General features: G+C 41.6%; 1 long non-coding RNA gene across 1 annotated transcript, besides 2 other annotated features; it reads right to left on the bottom strand.

Moving 5' to 3' along the window:
* Positions 6,324-6,413: a silencer, noted in NCBI's record as "silent region_1497". NCBI's record gives its function as "represses an Ori minimal core promoter by ATAC-STARR-seq in GM12878 lymphoblastoid cells {active_cell/tissue: GM12878}" and the evidence as "EXISTENCE:reporter gene assay evidence [ECO:0000049][PMID:35858748]".
* Positions 8,202-14,599, bottom strand: LOC107985452 (uncharacterized). Its single transcript, XR_001737808.2, has 3 exons — positions 14,389-14,599; positions 9,350-9,591; positions 8,202-8,287 (listed from the first exon to the last, which is right to left on the bottom strand). It is a non-coding gene; the product is annotated as an uncharacterized LOC107985452 (long non-coding RNA).
* Positions 21,635-21,684: a silencer, noted in NCBI's record as "silent region_1498". NCBI's record gives its function as "represses an Ori minimal core promoter by ATAC-STARR-seq in GM12878 lymphoblastoid cells {active_cell/tissue: GM12878}" and the evidence as "EXISTENCE:reporter gene assay evidence [ECO:0000049][PMID:35858748]".

Genomic DNA, 24,165 nt, shown 5'->3' on the forward strand with positions numbered 1-24,165 from the left:
GACACTTGTCATTGTAGAGTCAAGATACTCTACAATATAAGAGACTCATATATTTTTACATAGCTAATGATACAGATAGTCAATATTATGATGACACAGGCTCAGAACTGGGTCACAGTTTAATTATTTGGCAAGAAGAAACTGATTTGAGTGTTCTTTGCAAATTCACTTTTGTGATTCTTGCCATTCTTGCACAATGCTATTTCATACCAACACACACACTCTTTCCCAAAGAGGTCTTTATCTGAATGCCAGCAAGGCTGTGAAAACACCTCCAATCCCTGTGACCACAGGGTTTACTGCTGTTTCTGAGAGGGGAAGGAGAGCTGAAGGACCCAGCCTTATGTTCAAAGCATAAAATCAATAAGCCCTTTCTAACAAATTAAGAAGAAATGAAAGGAGGGGGAAAACAAAGAAGGAAAGAAAGAAAGGCAGAGACAAGGAGGAAAGAAGGAGAATGATTCAGGATAAACCCACTCTGTGCTGATATATGCTCTGCAAAATAATAAAGAAACACATAGAAGCCCGGCTGTGCATGTGTGTAAAGAAATCACGTGCGTATATCACAGTAGTAATTAAAACCTCTCAGTCAGATGCTATAGAGAGATTAGTTGTCACATTGTGTTAAAGGAATCCTTGCCTTATTCCCTAGAAGGGGACAGACTGCCTGCCGTCCTGTCATCTGTTCCTGTGCTAGAGTGACCCTCAGCCAAAATGCCTCACTGACAGATTCTGTGCACAGAAGAAGCCCTTTGCAACTCGGGACCGTTCTGCCACTAAATAAGAGAAAAAATGGATCACATCTACATGCCCAGATACTCTAACCTTGTGTCCCAACAGTCAACCCAGTTGTCTTCAACGAAGACCCTAAATGCTATGCAAAACTCTCACTTTCCAGTCTTGCTTTTCAGGAAGGTCAGTTGAGAAATTCAACAGGCAACCAGGAAGGGGCAGGAGTAAAGTGGTACAGCAGAAAGAAACTTGGTCTGGAATTCAGGGGATAGTTTCTGGTCCTCAGCTCCATCAGGGAGTATAAAACCTTAGCTGAGTACCTTGATTTTCTCATCTATAAACTGAGGGGATCACCTGGTTCCAAGTCAACCACAATTCTGTTATCCTCACCAAGTACAACAGATGATGTAGTCAATAAGCTGAATGAAGAGCAATGAGGTCTATGGACATTTTTTCCTTGCCAAATAACCTGTTGATTCAGTCAAATATTTTGTCAGCCTACTGAAAGGGAAAAAACCCTGGTTTTCTTTATCTGCCCATTTGTTCAGAACTTGAATCTATTCCTTGCCCTCCAAAAAATGTTGATGCAAATTGATTTTATAATGATGATGACCATGAAGATTTTTTCTTCCTTTAAATTCAAACCTTTCTTTTAGGAAACCTTTGCATGTTAACTACACGATTGTAGAAAATGAAAAGTTAAGTGAAATTGCTGAAATGTTAGGTTCACATGACACCACAAGTCTCCATCCACATGGTCCAGTACGAAAGGGTACTGGGCAATCCCACAGTGACAGATTTGGCCTTGCTTGGTGCACGTACTTCAGGGTGGGAAGGCTGACTCTGGTACCACTTACTAATCAAGATCAATGGCTTTATTTACCCTCTGTGTTCTCACTACTGACTCACCATCTGTAAAAATGTGAGTTTCCCACAGTCCAAGGTTTGTTCATAAAACTTACGTGTTCAGACACTGGATCCCATCTGATGGTCCAGAGTTGATGAGACTCAATAGCAACAAATTACTGTAAGAGACTGCTGCTTGTTCCAACCGGCAGTTGCTCTCCCTTTCTTCCCCAGAAGTCAAGTTTTAGCTGGCTACCTAGCCACTCAGTATGGCCATCTGATTAGGTTCTGGCCAATGGAATGTGAGTAGGAGTTATGTGTGGCACTCTGGATACTCCTAAGAGGATTGGGCATATACTTCCCCGGTCCTTCTTAAAAAATCTTCCCACTGCACTACAGGGTGAAGCACTGGAGAAAATACCTTTGTCCAGAAAGGAATAACACCTTTTAAAGGGATGGACTGCACCGGGTGCGGTGGCTCATGCCTGTAATCCCAACACTTTGGGAGGCCAAGGCAGGTGGATCACTTGAGGTCAGGAGTTTGACACCAGTCTGGCTAACATAGTGAAACCTGGTCTCTACTAAAAAAAATACAAAAATTAGCCGGGCGTGGTGGTGCGTGCCTATAGTCCCAGCTACTCGGGAGGCTGACACATGAGAATCACTTGAACCTGGGAGGTGGAGGTTGCAGTGAGCTGAGATTGAGCCATTGTACTCCTGCCAGGGAAGACAGAGTGAGACTCTGTCTCAAAAAAAAAAAAAAAAATGTAGAGTGCTCCTACCAGCCCTGAGCAACATAATTACCACTGGACTACTCTATGAGAGAAAAATTTTTATCTAATTTAAGTCAGTATGTTTTGGGGTCTGTTTGTTACAGCAAGTTAGACTGTGGTGTAACTAATATAATCAGACTGCCATGCTTGCACAAAACTGATGTATAAACCAAATGCTAATTTCTTTGTAATTCCCACTGCTACACATTTCCCAAAACAAAAATGTTTAATTCCTTCCATTGAGCATTCTTTTCCTGTTCAGTATCCAAGACCATGGGAAACTGAATTAGAAGCTCTTTTATCCAATACTATTAGAACTGATGGTTGGTTGTTAACTTAGACAAATTAGTTAAAGCGAAGAATCATTTTAAAACGATACAAACACATATTAAACATTTTTATTTGAAAATATGTGGGAAACTTCCTGAAAGTCTCTTGAAAAGAGAGAGAGGGTTTGGGCTCTTTATCCTGCTGCTGAATGATTGGAGCTCTGGAAGCTATATTGGACCACAGGGATGACAGTCACTTTCCAGGGATAGCGGAGCAGAAACTAGGAGGGAGCCTGAACCCTCTGCAACCTTATGGAACTGTCATGTGAGCCTGGACTGCCAGCTTCCAGACTTCTGTTCCATGGCAGATACTGTGGGCATGTATGCTTTATGGAAGGAATGGAGAGTATTGGTCAGTTCAGCACATTGATCGAGGAGTAATCAGTTAACAGTGTTTACAGAGAAATTAGATTCTGGAACAAGCACAGGTTTAGATCAAAACAAATTATATCTCTCTGTGTGATATTTCATTCAAGTTACAGAAAGGCTTAATGAATGTCTCTATCCTACGGTAAAGTATGTCTCTCTTGTGACCAGAATTTTTGTAACCACTGACTATATCATTTCATATTCTCTCTGTTAGTACTGAAAACTGCTGACAAGTTTTTTAAATTTCTGATTGTTTTTAAAGTCACCATGAGCCCAAAGTATAATGTAAGACAAGTTACTATTAAATTGAATGGTTTGCAGTTTAATTGGTCTTCTTAGCTACAAATGGTTCTTTTATGTGCTGGCTATAATCATTTCCTTGGCTTCATTAGCCAGGTTCCAAAATTAGCTGAACTAAAATTACTGAAAGAAAACATGCCACCAACTATGCTTGGTTAAGGATAATACCAAGGAGGAGTTTATGTAGCTTGCAAAGGTCAAATCAGAAGGGATTTGAAGTTCATTTACAGACCCCTGCATTGCTTCCTAAGGAAAATTCCACCTAAGCTAACCCGAGACATGATATAGAATCATCTTGAAAGACCTGCCATGGAAGGCAGCAAAATGATTAAATAGCTAAAATGAGTGCTTGTTCTGTATTATTCTTTAAAATGATTTAAAATAAGATAGGAAGCTATAGTCATGAAAATAATGAAATAATTATAAAAAGATGAGCTCTACTGTTCATTCATTTATCCCTTTATACATTTAGCAGTATACATTTAGCAGATGTTTATTGAAAGCCTCTGATGTACTGTCCTAAGGGCAGGGTGTCGCAGCAGCAGCTAGCTGACCAACAGAGATGTATGTTCCCTTTCCATGGAATCGAGCTGTTCCCCTACCAGAACTACACGCTGAAGCCCTTGTGCATCTCAGCGACCAGTTCTGGCTCATGTTATGTGACTGTAAGTGATGTGTGTTACTTCTAAGCCAAGATTGTTAATATCCATCATGCCTTCTCCATATTCTCTTTCCTTCTACAGTGACCTTGAAGACTCTGTTGAAGATGCTGGCATCACAAGATGGAAGGAACATGGGTCCCTCAGTCACCACTTGCTGGAAAACCTCCCCAAAGAATCAACAAACCAGGAATACCATATTGGATTTTAGTATGAACAAGAAAAAATACATTTATTCTGTTAAGCCACTGAGTTTTGGGGTTGTTTTTCTACTGCATTTAACCTACCTTGGTAATACTAGATAGATAGGACTGGGGATTATAAATTTCTCATTTATTGCAGGCAACTGATCCCATTATTATGATCTTATTCCACTGTAAGGCAACTTTGTTAGAAAATATTGGGAGTTTATGAAAACCTCCCTCTGAGTATCTTAAAAGCCTTCTTTATACAACAAAATCTCACGAAAGAATGAGAACAAACCCAAACTAATTGCATTTTGGCAAACATTTCACACATATATTTGCAAGTTAAAATCTCTATAGGCAATTGCCTAGTTTACGGAATGGAATGTTGGAAAAGATTGCAAATGAGACAATCGGGTGGATGGACACTTTTAGTAGGACTATTTGCAAGGTCTGGAAAATTTAGCACTGATCATTTAACTGTCTATTTATTTCCTCCCACCCATGCCCCCCAAGCCTGCAGATATGTATGATTTATGAAAAGGATACAGTGTCAGGTGAGGTGTGATGGCATGCAGAACCTGAAGCCATGGACACCCAACACTCAAAGAATGAGGCTTGGAGTTTGGGTCTTCAGAGTGCCGACTCATGACCTGTCTACCTCTCTATACAACTTCTGACCTGCTTTATCTGACCTAGACTCACAAGCTAGAAGATGAGAGCAGCATGGATAGTAAAAGGCAAAATATTTATACGATCTGAAGAGAAACTAGAGCATAAGATGAGAACAGCACGGATCAATAACCGAAATAAAAACTTCACAAAACACCATTACTACGTGCAATGCAGTCAAATATTTTCTTATTGCTTTTATACAATACTAAATGAAAGCTGATAAACTCTTTTCACAACCCCCTAATAAATTAGAATTCTCAGTTAGAAAACTGTCTCATCTAAGCGTGTGTTATCCTTTCCTGTTAAAGTTCCCTTTCCACTGGTCCTCTCTCCTTAAATAAAGCCTGCACTTAAGAAGGGACATGGTCTCAGTTAACTCTGTCATACGGAGAACTGGAGTAAAATTGTTACTTTCACAAGGAACAGCTGAATTTTTATTCTTTCTTTTCTTTTTTATTTTATTTATTTCTTTCTTTTCTTTTTCTTTCTTTCTTTCTTTTTTTTTTTTTTTGACGGAGTTTTGTTCTTGTTGCCCAGGCTGGAGTGCAATAATGTGATTGCACTTGGCTCATTGCAACCTCCGCCTCCTGGGTAGAAGGGATTCGCTTGCCTCAGCCTCCTGAGTAGCAGGGATTACAGGCATGTGCCACCATGCCCAGCTAACTTTGTATTTTTAGTAGAGATGGGGTTTCACTGTGTTGGTCAAGCTGGTCTTGAACTCCTGATCTCAGGTGATCCGCCCTTCTCAGCCTCCCAAAGTGCTAAATTACAGGCGTGAGCCACTGTGACTGGCCTGAATTTTTATTCTTAAAGCTGAAAGAAATCTCAGATTTTTTTTTCTTGCAATAGATGATTTAATAGGTCAGCTCAAGAAGGTTAAATTTCTTGGCATAGCTGGTCACAGAGTTGGAGATTAGAACTCAGGCCTCATGATATGGGGACATTTTCAGTTATTACTCTGCCACCTCTCTGAATGAGTGCCTGTGTCCTCTCATAATCAATTTTGAGATTAGTAAGATGGGAAGAAAGAGTTTTGCAGAGGAATGGTATTGGGTGCCAGGAAACTCTCAAATTGTATTTATTTGTTTGTTTATTCATTATCTATTTATTTTGATGATCCAATAAGATGCTTCATTGACTAAAAAATTTATTCCTTCATATAGTTCTATGGATTATATTTTATTGTGGCAAAACACATAATTTACCATCTTAAGCATTTTAAGTATACAGTTCAGTGGTATTAAGTACATTCGTATCATGCAACCATCATCACTAGCCACCTCCAGAACTCTTTATCTTTCAAAACTGAAACTGTATACCTATTGAACAGTAACTCTCCATTCTTCCCTCCCATATCCCCTGACAACCACCACTCTGCTCTCTTTCTCTACCTCAAGTTGTCTTTTGGGGTTGTTTTTTTACATCTAGACCACCCAGCAAGCAGACATGGAGTGGGCAGGTGGGTTGGCTGGCTAGCTCCTTGTAGAGGCTCACAGCATACTGATTTTCAATGTCACCTCTTAGCTCGGCAGGTGGCGCTCTCTGACATCAGTTGACTGAGGCAGCTCATGGAATTAAGAGAACTGTTCATGCAAGTAAGCCGGAGCTGGTGTGGAAGGTAAGAAAGGGCAGGGAGAAAGTAAACACTGATTGGTGGCTCTGCACTCTGACCACAGAAGCCACATCCCTGCAGACTGGCAGAGGCAGACACTGTGACTGACAGCAATAAAGACAAAGCAGCTGGTGCCCCATTAATAATCACAGGCTCCAGGGAATTTGTCCCCCTAAAGATGAGGACAAACGGTGCAGGCTGTCATCAGGGTGTGCTGGGAACACCCTCAGTCACCCTGGAGGCACGACTTCATGCCCCTCACCTTTTCAACTTGCTTTTCTAGGCGCCTGTGACATTTATTTCCTGACCTCAGGGTGACATCTCATAAAGGCAAAATTATCCTAACCCAGTACCTTCGAAGCTATCAGAATTAATCCATGTAACTCATTACAGTAAATGACAACAGCTATGATGGACAGAGCTGTAGGGAGACGTAGAGTTCTCATCTTACCCCTGTCCAGTTTGTCCCAAACAAAATACATTTCTATTACACACTTAATCCCTCTTGTTAATGGCAGTCTCGTTTTATACAGACAATGGAAACAACTTACAAAAGTCACACTACAAACCAGAAAGAGCCATTGCCAACAGTAGTGAGGAAGGAGTGATAGCCATGAGTGATCAGCGTTACTAATGGTACTCATTAAAGGTACATTCAAGCCCTAATGAATTGCCAGCGTGGATGACTCTACCCAAGAAACCAGTATTAAATATTCACGGAGAAAACAACAGGGCATCATCCTTAGTTTGAACTCCATACAAAGAGACTCTGAAAGTAGCCAGTTCATAGACTCAGCACTCCTTAGGAGTGTTGTAGAGTATGAATTGCCAAAGAATGTACTTGTATATCTGGATGATATATACTAAAGACATTTCTATTTGAAGCCAGAAACTTTAGCTAGGCACGGTGGTGCACACCTGTAATCCCAACACATTGGAAGACCAAGGCAGGAGGATTGCTTGAGCCGAGGAGTCTGAGACTAGCCTCAGTAACATGATGAGACCATGTCTCTAAACTAAATAAATAATAAAAAAATAAAAATTATATGAAGCCAGAATCTTTGGTTCACATTCAGGCTCCTCCTCTCACTAGCTATTAAAATTGAATAAGATACAAGCTGAGCCTATTATTTTTGTTGTTGTTGTTGTTTGCAAAATGTATATAATACCAACTGCCTCTGCCTTCTTCATGGACCTGGAAGGATGAAATGAAATACTGTAAATAAAATCACCCTAGGCCAAGTGCAGTGGCTCATGCCTGTAATCCTAGCACTTTGGGAGGCTGAGGCAGGCGGATTGCCTGATCTCAGGAGTTCGAAACCAGCCTGGGCAACACAGTGAAATCTCGTCTCTACTAGAATACAAAAAATTAGCCAGGTTTGGCAGCGTGCACCTGTAGTCCCAGCTACTCGGGAGGCTGAGGCAGGAGAATTGCTTGAACCCAGGAGGCGGAGGTTGCAGTGAGCCGAGATCGTACCACTGCACTTCAGCCTGGGCAACAGAGCAAGATTCTGTCTCCAAAAATACAAAATAAAAAATAAAAAAAACCCCTAACCACAAATAGTAAAGGCTACACTGATCCCTGTATAGAGGCACACGTGGGCACACACACACACACACACACACACACACACACACACGGAGAGAGAAAGAGGTAAAGCATTTTTATTTATTTCATTATAAGAATTCTTCAGCAGTGCTTATGAGAACCTCTGCCTGCTCTTCTGCCCTGGGGATATTCACCACAATTCTACGAAATGACGCAAGTTGCAGAAAATGTAGAGCCATTTGCAGGACTTTGATACATCTGAAAAAGAGGATGTGTAAGGTAACCACTTTGCAATGTGTGAGTTGAGGGAGAGGGTACATATACTACAAAGTTATACACAAGGTTTTTCCTGATACATAGAATAGATGCTATGAATTCCCAGAGTTCAGTAGAGACCTGGAATCACACTTGCTATAAACTACAAAGAAAAATGTCATGTTCTTGCTTGTGATGCCAGTTTTGCTGGCCTGGGTGGTGAAGGCTGTGGAGTCTCTGCTTTCTCATGGGCTTCTGCATTCATGCATTCCCATGTGCTTATGGGCAACTGTGATGCTTACACAGGGAGGTGTTTAACAGATATCCGAAGCATGATTTTTAAAGAGCAAAAAGTAAATTAGACTAGATCATTCCAACCTGAAAGTTGAAAATAATGTAAGAACAAAGGATCTGTGAGCAAATTACATGGATCTGTGCACACACTTATCCTCGCACATACAATATACATGTGCATGTATCTTCTGTGATGCCTTTATTTGAGTATTTGCCTACTAATATTCCAAATCATGTATCTATTCTAAATAGTACTTCCCACCAAACATTGCTTGTTTTTCTGTCTCTCCTACTATAGGGAGAGTAGTAGGAGGGCCAGGACAATGTCTAATTAATCACTATATTTCCAACAGCAAACAAAATGCTTAGGTTAATAACTATTAGTAAAATGAATGAAGGATGAACATGGCCACTCTCACCTCTCCTGAAAGAGAATTTTCTAAAGCATTAAAAACACAGTTATTTGTTTTTATGAGAAAATTGGATGAATTGCAGAGGCAGTTTGAGCAATTTATTTTGGGGGCAGTTTTAAAAATAAGGGAGATACCTCAGATGATATAAGTGCCATCTTATTAGAAGGAAATAGCATGAACTAAATCCATGGACCCTCTGTGCTAGAATCAACAATGGGATTTTAGAAAATATAGATTCCTGGGCCCAAGACCTAGAGATTTCTGATTCAGTAGATCTTGGGGTGTGGTCCTGGTATCGGTAGTTTTTTAAAGTCCCATAGGTGATTCTAGAAGTTATTAGACTAGGGACCTTACTCACCTTCAGGGCAAGTTCAGGCTGGGTCTGATTTGAAGATAAGTCTTGCTTTGTCTAGATTCAAATCAGAAAAGTCTTCCTGGTGAGAACTCAAGATGAAATGAAGATGTTGAGCAGTTGGCTACTTCTTCTGGTTTTAAATACTTGAGATTACAGAGCACGTTTAAGCTTCTGAAGAATCATGAGTTCAGTCTTTCACTGAGGGTCTTGGATGAGAAAACTCTCTTCAGAGCCGAGAGCAGATGCTGGGATGGAAGAAAAAAGGATAGGATTACAATTTAAGGTGAAATAAGTGAACGAATGAATGAGAAATAAAGGGCACAGGGAAATTTTAAAGAGGTTAAGGAGCAGAATTTTTTTTTTTTTTTGTAGTTTGTTACAGGGAACAAATGAAGAATTTATCTGACACTTAAATTGTTCCAAATCCTAATGTTTTTCCACTGCACCCACTTAGGGAACAGGTTTATTCAAATGTTGCAAAGGAAGACACTAAGGGATGGTGAGGAGAAGTGACTTACTTTGCAAACAAACCAGGTAATCTGCTCTTTTCAGTTGTCATTAAGTAATGGTTAGCAGAGACGGAATCATCTAGACCAAGTTTTAGGCTAATTGGTTCTGTATTTATGGTACAGACTCACCAAATTTAGTAAAATATAAGCATTCATTCAGTCGACATTTATTGGACAATTACCTTGTGAAGATCTCTGCTAGGCAGTCTGGAGATTCAGATATGAATTTTACATGATCCCCACCCGCTGTAACTTACTCCACGAAATCAATACCTTAGAGTTTTGTAGGTCTTTGGATATTACAAATTTCTTACATCATCTCCTTTCTCCCTTCCTGTATCCTCATTTTCCCCCCTTCTTCCTTTACCACGATAACCATATATCTCTGTTCCAGCTACACTGTCTTACTATTCTTGAAACACACTAGAAATGTTCCTGCCTCTAGGACTTAGCACTGCCTGTTCCCTATGTTTTAAATGCTCTTCTCCAGACATCTGCATGCCTAACACCCTCGTCTGAAAGTTTTTGTTCAAATCTCACTTTCATAATGAGGCCTACCCTCACTAGTCTATTTAAAATTTCAACCTGCAGCGCCCCACGGATATTTCTGATGCCCCTGGCTATGCTCTTTTTTTTTTCCTTAACTCTTATATCCTTCTAACATATTGCATAATTTACATATTTATTGCGTTTGCTGTTCATTATTTTCTGTTTCCTAGTAGAATATAAGTCCTTAAAGGTAGAGAGCCATTTCCACCTGGGTCAGAGGAAGACGTGGCTACAGAAGAGTAGACAGATGCAACATTGCTGGCTTTGTAGATGGAGGAAGGGAACCATGAGCCAAGAAATGTGGGCAGCCTCTAGATGCTGGAAAAGGCAGGAAAATGGCCTTCTAGAGCCACGAAAAGGATCATAGCCTCTCTACACCTTCCTTTTAGTTCAATGAGACCCGTATCAGACTTCTGACCTACCTCGCTGTCAAATAATAAATTTGTGCTGTTTAAGCCACTAAATTTGGAGTAAATTTTTAAATAGTAGGATGGAAACTAATATAGGGTGGAAACCAACGTCCATGTAACTTTCCCCCATTGGCTCTAGATCTGCCTCTGGAGTAACCAAAACACATCTGCTTCCTTCTGCCCCATGGCAGACATTAAACTATTTGAAAACACATTTCAGATCCTCTGTAAATCTTTAAGTTGCTAGCTAAATATTGTTATTGTTTTCTTACGTGACGGTTTTCAGACCTCTCATCATTATAACTATATTTTCGTTCTCATCCTTATCCAGAAGACATTAGTACCCTTAATTCACTGTAGAGTGTAATACAAGGGAATTGGCCTCTAAAAATACTCTAGATTACCAAGACCTCTGCTAGAGCACAGCTGTTGCCACCAAGCCCACCACTGTGCTGCATGTTAATGGAACGCCACATGGCTCTGCGGAAGCCTTATTGTGGGGCAGTGGAAAGAGCAGTGCTTTGGAATCAGACTGACCTGACTATGAACTCTGACGTTTCCACTTCTTGGCTACATGATCTCAGGAAAATTAATTAGCTTTCTGTGTCTTGAACTCTAACTCATCTGAAAAAAAAATCCTTATAGGTTGTAGGAAAAAAACCAAAATATTTGAAAATATTTTGCAGAAGGAAGGCATTCATTAAAATATTTTGGTTTCTTTTTTCTATAGTTCTCAACATTATGTTTTCATTCATGCAAATCACATTTGAACTAACTCTTTGGGCGAGATATTGCATCTCAGGCTCATATCAAGTTTACAATTGCCTAAAAGCCTTAGGTTCTTGTTTGTTTGTTTGTTTGTTTGTTTGTTTTTTTAAGGGTATGCTCATTAAACCACCTTACCCTATTCTGTACTGAACACTTAGTGATTTTATCGTATTTTTATCTTGTTAGGTTTAGTTTACTGGCTGAGTCCTCCCACACCTTTGCGACTCTAATTTTTTCATTCAGTGTATTAGTTAGCAGGGCCAGCTTCAAACCATGAATTTGTCAAATGCTTCATTAAATGCCTGTAATACATTCATGCTGGATCTGAGTCCAAGTGTTCACAAGCCAGCTTCTCAATGACCATAGATCTCAAGATTCCTCAGAAATTACTCAAGATCTTTCCAGCCAGCTCATATGCAAGTTCTCTCCTACCCTGAAAGTAGATGGATCCACCCAGGAGACTTGCACGCATATAGATCCCCTAGTTTCTCTTTTGTCACCTCTCCCTTTCTCCAGAGTTTAACTTCTGTCCCATCAATATCGATGCTCACCTTTACAGCTGAACAGTCCTTCTCCTTAAATAAGAATAGAAGCAAAACAAGTATTGGAGAGTTCTGTTTTCTCTGTGACCTGTTACCATTTCAATATTAGCCTACAGCAGAACTGTCCTTTCACTGTCGTTGTTGTTGTTTTCTTGCTCAAAACCTGTGTGTTGCCATCTGACACCTTTTGGTTTATTTGCAGTTTGCCCCCTCTGCCCCCCAAAGTGGTCAGTGGCATGGCGCCTGTTCATCTTTTTTTATATTCATCTCTCTCTATGTCTTTGACCTCTGAACTTGCAGATACATTTTCTGGAGACAACCTTGGTCTTTTGTGAATATTCTTTTCCTCTTTCCTACTATATTGGAATTTGTTTTTGAGAACTTCTGTGTAAATGAGTCCCCCTTGGTCTTAGTCTGTGGAGTTTTTCCTACCTTTTCTCTGAACTTTTATTCTGAGTGTTTTGAAATTATATCTCTAAAATATAAGGGACATATCTAACTCTGCCCTACACTCTTGGGGACTATGAACAGTCAAGTGCTGAAAATATAGAGCTTGAAGAGTTGAGTTTTGTCCTAGCTCTTCAGACATGATATTGAACCATCATTGCCCACTCCTCATCACTTAGAACACCAATGGAATCTTCCCCCTTCCTATAGAGGAAGTGGAGGGCTCTCCTTAGCCTCAGAGGGAAGACAGGCCTTGAGGGGAGAGGAGTGGGCCTAAAATCCAAAAAGTGATGGCTCCTTTTATCTCTTGCAGAATTATTTTCCCTGAAGTCCAGAGAAATCTATTCTCTGGTCAAAAACCATTGTCCCCCTCTTTCTCTTTTCTCTGTACTTCCCTATTCAGATGCTATCTGCAGCAGGACACTGAGGTGCAGCAAAAACACTGTGGCTAAGATCCTTGGCTCTGGAGGCAGACAGACCTGAGTTTAAATCCCAGACTCTCTGAGCTTTAATTTTTCTCATTTATAATATGTGATAATGACATAACCTGCCACGGAGTAATATTGTGAGAACTGAATAAGAACTAAGTGAGATAATGTTTGTAAACCACTCAGCTCAGTGTCTAGGAACTAACAAATGCCAATTAACATCAGTTATTATTACTCACTGGAAATATGTCCCTTCAGTGTAAAGACCCAAGCTTGTATCTAGCCATTGAGTCTGCCTACAAGTCAACTCAGGCCACCATATGGTCCAGGCAAGTGAGTATTCAAGAATGAATGCTCTATCGTGGGTTTTTTTCTTCTCATTAGTTTTTTGGATTTTTTTTTTTGTTTGTGTTTTCTTTCAAATGCAGTTCTCTTTCAACATTGCCTGCAATAAGCTGTGGTGCAGAGATTTGGGGGTGGGGGAGGCACATGGAAAAAAAGAAAAAAAAAGAAAACCCGGGCAATTGCACAAAGCCTTTCCCTGGAAAGCCCAGGCTCTGGGTGGTCAGGACACATGGCTGCCCTCCTCTACACCTAGAGCTCCAGCTTTGATGGTCAAGGCACAGATGGGGATTCATCCCATTCCCCACATAAAAGAGCTCTCTGGGAGTGGGAGAATGGCTGGGGTTGTCTATACAGGTGTGTATGTGTGTGTATATATACATGTACACATATATATGTACACATATAATTGGCTATATTAGAAAATTCTCTCTATGTATAAATATAAAACGCTGGTATTCAAACACGACGCCAATGGCTAACTAAAGTGCCTGGCCTTTAAAGATCCTTGCCTGTGTGCATTTGCAGGGAAAACTGTTCAACCTGAGTGCCCAGAATGAGGGAGGGGGACTGGGGAAGCAAAACAATGGGGATCCCCTCTGTGGGCAGGTGGTGGGAGGAAATTGTGTGCTGGCCAAACAGGGCCACCAAGAGCATTCGGGCTGCCCGAGTCTTCTTGGTCCTAGGGCTGTCATTAACAGAAGCAAACAAAGAAAGGGACAGAGCACAAAGTGGCAGGTTCTATGGTCTATTTATAGAGATGGCTTCAAATCCGAGTCTACGAAACATGAAGGCCAGAGCCAACGTGGCCTTTCCATGGATCTACAGTCAATCTATCAGAAAAACTCAGTGAGCCAGGTATTTGGCTCCATTGCCCAGTTGTCCCTGGGTAGTTTATTGCAGACCCCTGTAGAAAATACTTTCATTTAATCAGTTTACACAGAAACCAGGGAATGGTGAGGGGTGGTTTTGTTTTTTACATCTCAGCACAAGGATGGGTTTGAGAGAAGAAGAATACAGTGGAGGAGGACAGAAAACACAGCTTACCTTTGTCCATCTGTCAGAGCTGGCACCAGGTTTTTGGCAATCTTTTGGGATCCTCTTTGCCTGGGCTGGGTTGACTTGGCCCTGTCCGTTTAAGAATATTTGATTTGATTGCAGAGCAAAATGCTTCTGAAAAGCTGGGCTATTATCCCTGAAATAGAAAAATTAAAAAAATTTGAAAAGCACCTTTGAAGTCAGCTACCCAAATGAAACCTGTGACATCAGAGAGATGGCAGATAAATGGAGGGCAGAACAAGGCAGCCATTGACCGTGAGGCAGGCCAGGCTGATGCCACACTTTACACCCTACCAATATAAGTCAAAGATGAAAGATGCTCTGGGCAGCCCGCCTGACCCCTGGGCCTCTGTTATCTCCAATTGATTGCACAGTGTTTTGCTCTGAACAATCCCTCACTGTCTACCTGGTGCAGGTGAATCTCAGCAGAACAGGGGCTTGGGTGGCTTGGCGAGGTTATGGGAATGCCATGCATAGCACAGGGGCCCAGAGGAGGGCTTGCTTGCATGAAGTGCCGTCTTTATTACTTCTCTTATCCCTTGGATGCTGGGAACAGGGCAGCTAAGTGCAAATCAGGGGCAGCAAAAAAGGCCAGGGCGTGTATGGTGACAGACAGGCAGCTCTCTCTCCTGTTTGGAGACTATCAGAGATTGAAGACAAGCTCCAGCTGCCACTCTGCCCCCTGAATATTTCCATACAATGTACCAGAACCTTGGACAAACCTGGATCCCTTAATACACAACAACTCATTACTGGACAAGTTTAACTGCTAAGGATAGTCTATCAGTCGTTCTTAAACCCGAGTCTGCATCAGAAACTCCTGGAGGACTTGCCAAAACACAGATGGCTGCCTCCCCCACCCCCAAGATAGATTTAGCGAATGTGCATTTCAAACAATCTCCAGGTGATGCTGATGCTGCTGATCCATGGCCCACATTTTGAGGTGGTCTTTAAGGTAATATCAGACTTACATTCAACCCTGCCATTATAAAGAAGATTCACTTGAGTTTAGTGGAATCAGGGCCTACGATAAGAGCCAGGTACAAAGATGAATAGTGACAGACTGCAGCTAAACAACTCAATATAATCTAATCTCAGAGAAAGTGGGACCAAATAAAGCCCAGTGGTATCAAATAAACCCCTATATTGAGTCATCTTTCCCAAGGAATGTTTGGGGAATAAGCAGGGTGCATATGTATTTTTTTAAAGAGGTAAAGTTACCTTTTAGGTATCATCAAGAGTTGGTGAACACATAGTTTAGAAAGAAAATTTGGCAGAGAAATGGTTTCCTCTGTTTATAACAGCAGTTTTAGGACAAAAGCAAAATGGCTCTGCATTTCTAGAAGACATGCTGCTGCATGGTAATCCGTGAAACTGAGAACAAGGAAATAGGGTGAAGATGAAAGGACAGGGGAAAGAAGTGGAGTCATTGCCAATTGCACAAGTAGGTGACATCACCTCTGCCTTCAGAAAGCTTGCAAGAAAAAAGAAAGAGCCAGGCACAGTGGCTTATGCCTGTAATCCCATCATTTTGGGAGGCAGAGGTGGGAGGATTGCTTGAACCCTAGAGTTTGAGACAAGCCTGGACAACATGGTGAAACCCCTGGCTCTACAAAAAAAAAAAAAGTAGCTGGGCATGAAATAGCTGGGCATGGTGGTATGCACCTGTATTCCCAGCTACTTGGGAGGCTGAGGTGGGAGGATTGCTTGAGCCTGGAAGGCGGAGGTTGCAGTGAGCCAAGATTGCACCACTGCAAACCAGCCTGAGCAGCCAGACCCTGTTTAAAAAAGAAAAAGAAAAAAGAAACAGGAAAGACATTCTTAAGAAGTTATAGATCATTGACTAGCAATTTCAAAACCACTATAAAAGATGCTACAAGACATAAATGATTAAGTGCAGTGTGAGTATATCAGAGTAGGAAAGTAGGGCTGCAGAGGACAGGACAGTCTCTACAGAGGACTGAGATGAAAACTCACAGTGAAAAATGAGTAGGGATTATATCATTAGAGAGGAGAAGGAGGCATTGCAAACAATAGAAAAAGAAAAAAGAAAAGGAGGTGGGAATGTATGCAGATATCAAGGAGGCAATGCATAGTTTATTCTGGATGATCCAGAGTGTTCAAATCACATAGACCAAGTTGAGAGCAGACTGAGCAACGCATTGAGACTGTCCTAAAGAACTTTGATATTATTCTCCAGATTGCAGGAAATCAACCATGCATTTTATTCATTCATTTATCCAGTTCACACTTATGGAGCACATACTGTGGACCAAGAACAAGTATCAGCTGCGAGCTCAGAAATCCATGAGATTAGTCCTTGCTCTTCAAGCTTTCACTGTCCAGTAGGGAGAGCCCCATAGAATCAGATAATAACACAAATTAGGAAATTCTGTGATGAAATTTTGAACAAGAAAAGTGGAGGCCAGAGGAAGCAGCACTTGGCTCTCCTTAGAGGCACTAAGGAAAAACTCCGCAAAGCTGAACTCCTTGAGCTGGGACTTCAAAAGGGGTGGACAGACTGAACGAAGGCTCTGTGCTGCACTCTGTGGTCATACAGGGCTGCCTCCCACTTCTTTCCTTTCTCAACCATCATGTGTCATGAGTGAATGAAGGAATATGGAAAGAAGGAAGGCAGGAAAGGAAGGAGAATGGGAGGAGGGAAAGAAAAAGGAAGGTAAGGAGAAAAGGGGAGAAGGAAAGAAGAAAGAAGAGGGAGAGAAAGTAGAGGCTATAGGAGGGGAGGAGGGTGGAATGACATTCAGAAGAGGTGACAGAGAGCCCTGCAGAGCATTGTTGTGTGCACATGGATGGCAACCCTAGAACGGGCATATATGGGGTGTCCCACACTGCAGCTCTCAGGGAACAGCAGAAAGATATTCTTCCAGAAAAGGGCAAATTTTTCTAATATTTTTTGAGTAGACTGTGTGTTGCTGAATGTATGCCTAGCTCTTTGCTCAGGAACAAGTTTTGTCCCCTAGGCAAAGAAAGAGGAGGTGATTGGTCCTTGCTCTGGCTTGAGGGGCTCTAAAATTTCCTGCCTCTGTGCTGTCCCACCCTCCTAGGCTGGGATGCTGCAGTTGGCCTGACTTCACCATCTCATAACTGCCATCACTCCTGGGTCAGGAAACAAGCAGGGCTCACTGGCTTCAGGGGACCACAGGTAACAGGTGCGTATGTCAGCTCAGAAGCTTTATTGTCCTTTCTCCAGAGCACGAGAGTCAGCTTTTACAAGGCAAAAGAGGTGGTTGCTTTAGAAGATGAGTCCCACAAGAAAACGTATCTTACTAGGAAAGCTAGCCTGAGATGACTCCAGAAATGAAAAAGAGGAAGACTAATTTTTTCAAAGCAACTAAAGTCTCAATGTTCAGTAAATAATTTATTTGGATAATTCATTTGCAAAAAGAAAGCGTTCAACTTCTAGGAGATCAATTAATTCTATGTAAGGAGCGATTACAGTTCAGAAGTAGATTTCAACTTTCTTTTGCCATATATCTGTCTTTTGCCCTGAGATTTAAGAGAGATTGGCCAAGCCGGTGCGGCGGCTCATGCCTGTAATCCCAGCACTTTGGGAGGCTGAGGAGGGTGGATCATGAGGTCAAGAGATCGAGACCATCCTGGCCAACATGGTGAAACCCCGTCTTTACTAAAAACACAAAAATTGGCCAGGCATGGTGGCAGGCAACTGTAGTCCCACCTACTCATGAAGCTGAGGCAGGAGAATCGATTGAACCTGGGAGGTGGAGGTTGCAGTGAGCCAAGATCGCTCCACTGCACTCCAGCCTGGTGGCAGAGCGTGACTCCGTCTAAAAAAGAGAGAGATTGGCCAACTTGCCAAGATCATCTTCCTTTCTTTTTCATATCTTTATTCTTTCCTTCCTTCCTTCCTCCTGTTCCACCCTCCTTCCTCCTATTCCATTAAGCATCATTCTTCCATCTCTTACCACCAACTCCTCCCCCTGCCCCAGGTGGAATTCCACCTAAGAAGATCTGTGCTGGCCTGGGACTCTGAATTAAGTGGGCTTGGGGGTTATGTGGCTTTAGCACCCGCTATAAACAAGTTTCCCTCTCAGTCAGTTTCTTCTTACTACAAGAAGGACCTCCAGTATGGCTCCTCCTGTGGTTGGATTCCAGGTCACTGCTGTGCCCTGTGTAATTTAGGAACCTCTTTGATTATACAGGTGAATAGCTCTACTTGTTTCTCGAGCAGATGTTTGGTTGAAGTCCCTTCCCTGTGATTATGACTTGCTTTGGTCAAAAGGAAAGTAACTTGAGAAAGCTGGGTCCAGGAATGAAGAACAGGGAGGCAGCCACAAGATGAATTTTTGAACTCTCCAGACCACATTTTTGACTATACAATCCCTGAACCAACCTTATTATTAAGTATAATTACCAGCCCCAGGCATAAGCTACAGAGCCCCTACAGAGGTACTGTAGGTACCCCCAAGTTAAGCTATGTTTTTTTCATGCATGACCATCTTACCAATTGAGGAGTTATGAACCCCTGGGTAATCAATTGGGTCAAGGTGGCTCCAAATACCAAAAGACATTGATAGGATACTGAGAAATGTAAAATATCCATCATTAGAACTTAAGAGCTAAGTATATCCAGGCCTCACTTAAAAACAATACAGACGTGTTTTAATGCAACATGTTTTTTTCCTGACTATTGATTCTTGGAAAATAAAGTTTCTTCCCAAACACCTGCATCAGCTCCAGACTGATTAATATGATGGTCCTCTCAGGAGGTGGGAATGGGTATTGGTTTAAGGATGATTAGTCCCTATTTCATATAAGGCATACTGATCAGATAAATTGTTGGCAATAGATCCCTCTCATATAATTGCATTAATAGAAAGCACATGGAAGAGAGCCATTTCAAGGTCCAACAGCTCTGTGAGGTAGATATGATTCTTAATCCTACCTTTCAGGTAAGAAAACCAAGATTTAAGAGAGATTGGCTAACTTGACAAGATAATCTTCATTTCTTATCTTCCTTCATTCCTTCCTCCTTTCTCTCCTTCATTCCTTCCTTCCTTCCTTCCTCCCTCCCTTCCTTCCTCCCTCCCTCTCTTCCTTTCTTTGTTCCTTCCTTCCCTTCTTCCTCCTTTTCTTTATACACTATATGCAAGTCTCTATAAGCACAACAGAGAACAAACAAGACAGAAAGTCCTGGCCCTTATGGACCTCACATTCCAGTGGGGGGTAAAACAATTTTCTCTACATAATATGCTACGATAATGCCAGGTAATGAAGAGCTTTGTAAAATAATAATAAATGGGACAAGGATAGAGAGTGGGGATGGTGGTAAAAGGGCTTTTATTTAATACAGATGCTCAGAGAAGTCCTCTCTAACAAGATGACATTTGAGGAGAGACTTGAATGAAAGACAGGAGGGGCAAATGAAAAACATGCTTGGCAAGTGTGAGGAAGACCAAGAAGGCCACTGTTACTGGAGAAGAGGACAGGAGAGAGAATGATAGGAAAAGTAGCCAGAGCACATATGTATAGCGTCTTGGAAGCCACAGTAAGGATTTGGATTTCAAATGTGTAATGAGAACGTACCAGTTGCTGGGGAAGGCTGTAAATGGACAATAGTGGAAGCAGTTGGTGGGGGTGGGAGGGCAAGTTGGTGTTTTGAATAGAAAGCCACGCAGTAGTCCATGCTTGGGCCAGGGTGGTAATGAGAAAGGTAGTGATAATTGGCTGGATTCATGTTATCTCTGAAGCTAGGACCATAGGATTTGTCTCAGGACACAACGAAGTCTAGACTTTAACCCAGGCAAGTTGGCAACAGCCCCACATACCCACCCTCTGGCCAACACACTAGACAGTAAGTAGGTTTTAGTCTCACTGCAGCCACCCCCTCAATCCTCCTATTTCTATTACCCCCGTGCTCTCTGCTGCCACCTAGTGCCCATGTGCTGCCTTCAACTCCTCCCAGCCCTTGCCCTGAGTGGGGTGCCCATCAAATACTTAGGAAGAAAATGTCACTTCTCTGGGCCTCAGTTTCTTCATCTGTGAATGTTAGGGCTGGGATAATTGCCCCTAAAGCCATTTTCAATTCTTACTTTCCACGGTCGTGATCTCTTCCCTATGATGTAGGCAGGGAAAATGTTAAGATTATGGCTACCTATGTTTTCCCTGTAGGAATATATTTTTTAAATGTTGCCTTGGCAGTTCTTGAGCACCCTGCTCTAGTGCTCAGAAAGAATCAAGGTGCTCTGGAATCATTAGGTCTTGTTGCAAAGTTGGGATTAAACTAATTAACATTATATAAAATCTAAAATTGAGTACCTTGAAAGAGAGTTTGGTTGCTCTCCAAAAAATTAAATAAAGAATTCCTGTGTGACCTAGCAATTCCATTCCTAGGTATATATTCAAAATAATTGAAAATAGGTACTCAAACAGACCTTGGTACACGAATGTTCACAGCAGTGCTATTCAGCGTAGCCAAAAGTTAGAACAATCCAAATGTTCACCAACAGATGAATGGATAAACAAAATGTGGTATACCCATAAAATGAAATATTACTCTGCCATAAAAAGGAATGAAGTGTTGATAAATGCTACAGTATGGATGGACCTCAAAACATTATGGCAAATTAAAGAAGCCAGACTCACAAGCTGACATATTGTAGGATTTTATTTATATGAATTATCCAGAATAGATAACCCATAGAGACAGAAAGCAGATTGATGGTTGCCAGGGACTGAGTAAAGGGTGGAAATGGGAAGTGACTGCTTAATAAGTACAGGGTTTCTATGGGGTAATGAACATATTTTGGAACTTGATAGAGATGCTGGTTGCACAGCAATATGAAAGTATTAAACGCCACTAAAATGTACAACTTAAAACGGCTAATTTTGTTATGTGGATTTCACCTCATTAAAAATGTTGATGTAAAGGTAAAAGTGTTGATTCACTTCCTCAGTCCCACTAGGCTCATTTCAAATGCTCAGTGGCTAGCGGCCAACATATTGGGCAGCACAGATGTGGAATATTTACATCATTGTAGAAAGTTCTCTTGGACAGCACTGATTTAGACAATACATGGTCTCTGACACGACCGTGGGGAGGTTGCGGGAGTAGAGGAGGAATGAAGGCATTGGAGGAATGAAGGCAGGAGTAGAGGAGGAATGAAGAGAGTTCACATTGGTTCGTGCGCTTCGTGGAGGCTCCATGTGCACCATGGAATGTACTGTTCTCCCTCGCAGAGTGGAGAGCCTCCTCAGTGCTACTTTCCAACAAATGCCCACCAGAGGGCACTCTCACACCCCAGAAAACAGAAAACTAAAAGGACGTCAGAGTGCAGGGACTTAACATTTTTAGCATCCAGAACTAAACTAGTGGTAATAGAAGTTCATGGAAAGCAAACACTATATGAGAAGTTCCATGTAAACTCTCCCACTCTGACTTGAGAAATTGTTCATTTTGGGGGGAAGCTTTCCTTCTTGGCTATATTGGGTCTCAGCCCAACGTGAATTTGATGAGTATGTAGAAAGGTTGCATGTGTACTAAATGCAAATGTACGAGCTAAAGGCTAGAGTCCTGTGGCCCAGGGATGAAGTTGTCCATCCTTGCCCTGCTGCTTTGTTTGCTCCCGTTTTCCAAAGCTCTTGCCGACAGCTTAATGGCTGGTGGGCTGTGCTACCATTAAACCACCATGGGAAATTAAAACTCTACAAGCATTCAGTGTGGTAACTCTCTAACTAAGGCAGCAAGCCTTTGCTTAAAATAAAATAAAAGAAAAATGTCTGCTTCCAGGGTAGGAACTATACCTAAAGCATGATTTTAAAAAACATTTGAAAATTATTATCTCTTCTGGTGAGCATTCTGGTGAGCCAGTGTGAGCATTTATACTTCATTGTTTGAGTTTTTGCATGAATCTTCTCCAAAGCTCTTGTAATCAGAAAGTTAACCAGGATGATAGTTTGGCTCTGACATTGCTGGCGTCTTGCAAATCTAAATGTGAAAAACCGATCTGGCAGTTTTACACTTGGAGAATAACATTGTATAGGACTCAACTATTGCCTCTACCATTTGGCTCTTGCGACACTAAGACATTTTTCCTTCTCAGAATTTGGAAATGTTTTGGGTTAAAAAAAAATAAACTCACACTTCTCTAGATCTGGAAGAGCTATTTCTGCAAACTCTTCGGGACAGGGTATAAATGTAGCCTGCCATTCCAGTGATTGGGTGGTTGGTCTCATGGACAGAAATGGTGGGTGTTCCTTCTTCCCTTTCTTCTCTCCTCTCCCCCTTCCTACTCTTTCTCCCTGTATCTGAGATGGATTTATTAAATTTGGAACTTTTTTTTTTTTTTGAGACAGAGTCTTGCCTTGTCGCCCAGGCTGGAGTGCAATGGCACACTCTTGGCTCACTGCAACTTCCGCCTCCCGGGTTCAAGCGATTCTCCTGCCTCAGCCTCTTGAGTAGCTGGGATTACAGGCATGTGCTACCATGCCCCCCTAGCTTTTGTATTTTTAGTAGAGGAGGGGTTCACCATGTTGGCCAGGCTGGTCTCGAGCGCCTGACCTCAGGTGATCCACTTGCCTTGGCCTCCCACAGTGCTGGGATTACAGGTATGAGCTGCCGCACCTAGCCTGGAGCATTCTTTACTAATTCTCAGCTCTCTGGAAAAAGTGGACAAAACCAGGCTTTGGCCTTGGGTTAATATCTGCCAGAGGTGTTACAAAGAGGGAAAATTACTAGCTGTTACTCAACGGAGTATTTAGAAAGAAGATATTTTAATATTGTCCTTTTATCTAGTGTCTTATCATTGTTTGTAGGTATGCAAATTTTATATTCACCTATTTTGTAATATACATGCTTTTTAGTTCCTGAAACCCAAGACCAAAATGCCATTTAAATCTCAAAGGACCATCACCTCCTCACTTTCCCTAGGTGACATTAAATATCTTCAGCTCTCAAAAGTATTGCATACTTTTGAGCGGCATGCAGGCCAATAAGCTGAAATGGGCTGGAAAGCAGGGAATCACTAGCCAACTCATGCCCATTGGCACAATTTTAATCTATGTTTTAAAACAAAATTTTCAAAAGAGAGAAAAATATATGCAGCATTTACCGAAGAATGTTTCACACACATGCACAAGAAAAAAAACAGTCTGAGAAGGATTGAGGGGAAAAGCGTACTCGGTGGTCAAATAAATTTGGAAAACACTAAGTGTTCACTTTTTCTCTTGGCCATTCACAATTTATATCTATATGGTAAAGGTCTTGAGAAACTGCATGTAGCAGAAGTTATTAATGCTCTACCCAGATCCTTGGAGATCTTTTACAGTTCTTTGTGCTCATCCCAAGCTTTGGCATTCTTCACAACTTTCTTCAGAGTATTGGCGGATGCACAGAAAGCCTAAAGTACCTGAGAATTCACAGTCCCTCAGGAGGCTCATGGTCAATGACGACAATGATGGGCAGATGTTGAGAAGCCTAACCCTTTGCCTTTAAGTAGAACAAACTCTGTGAAATACTTCAAGCCCCAGAGCTGCCTGGGCCTAAGTGATCACCTGAAATGGCACCTGGTCTTCGTTTCTCCCTTCCCTATCCTATTTCCTACTTCATTGGCTGCTTTTGGGAGCACTTTTTTCATAAGTTCCTTGCCCATATGTCCTCACTTCAAGGTCTGCTTCTGGAGAACCTGACCCACCATGCTACAAGGAACCCCATTCAATTTTGTTTAACTCAGGGTTTTAGTCATGCATTCATTAAACAAACTTTTACTGAGTTCCTATTGTGTGTCC

The sequence above is a fragment of the Homo sapiens genome, chromosome 1, assembly GCF_000001405.40.
Source record: "Homo sapiens chromosome 1, GRCh38.p14 Primary Assembly".
Lineage (NCBI taxonomy): Eukaryota > Metazoa > Chordata > Mammalia > Primates > Hominidae > Homo > Homo sapiens.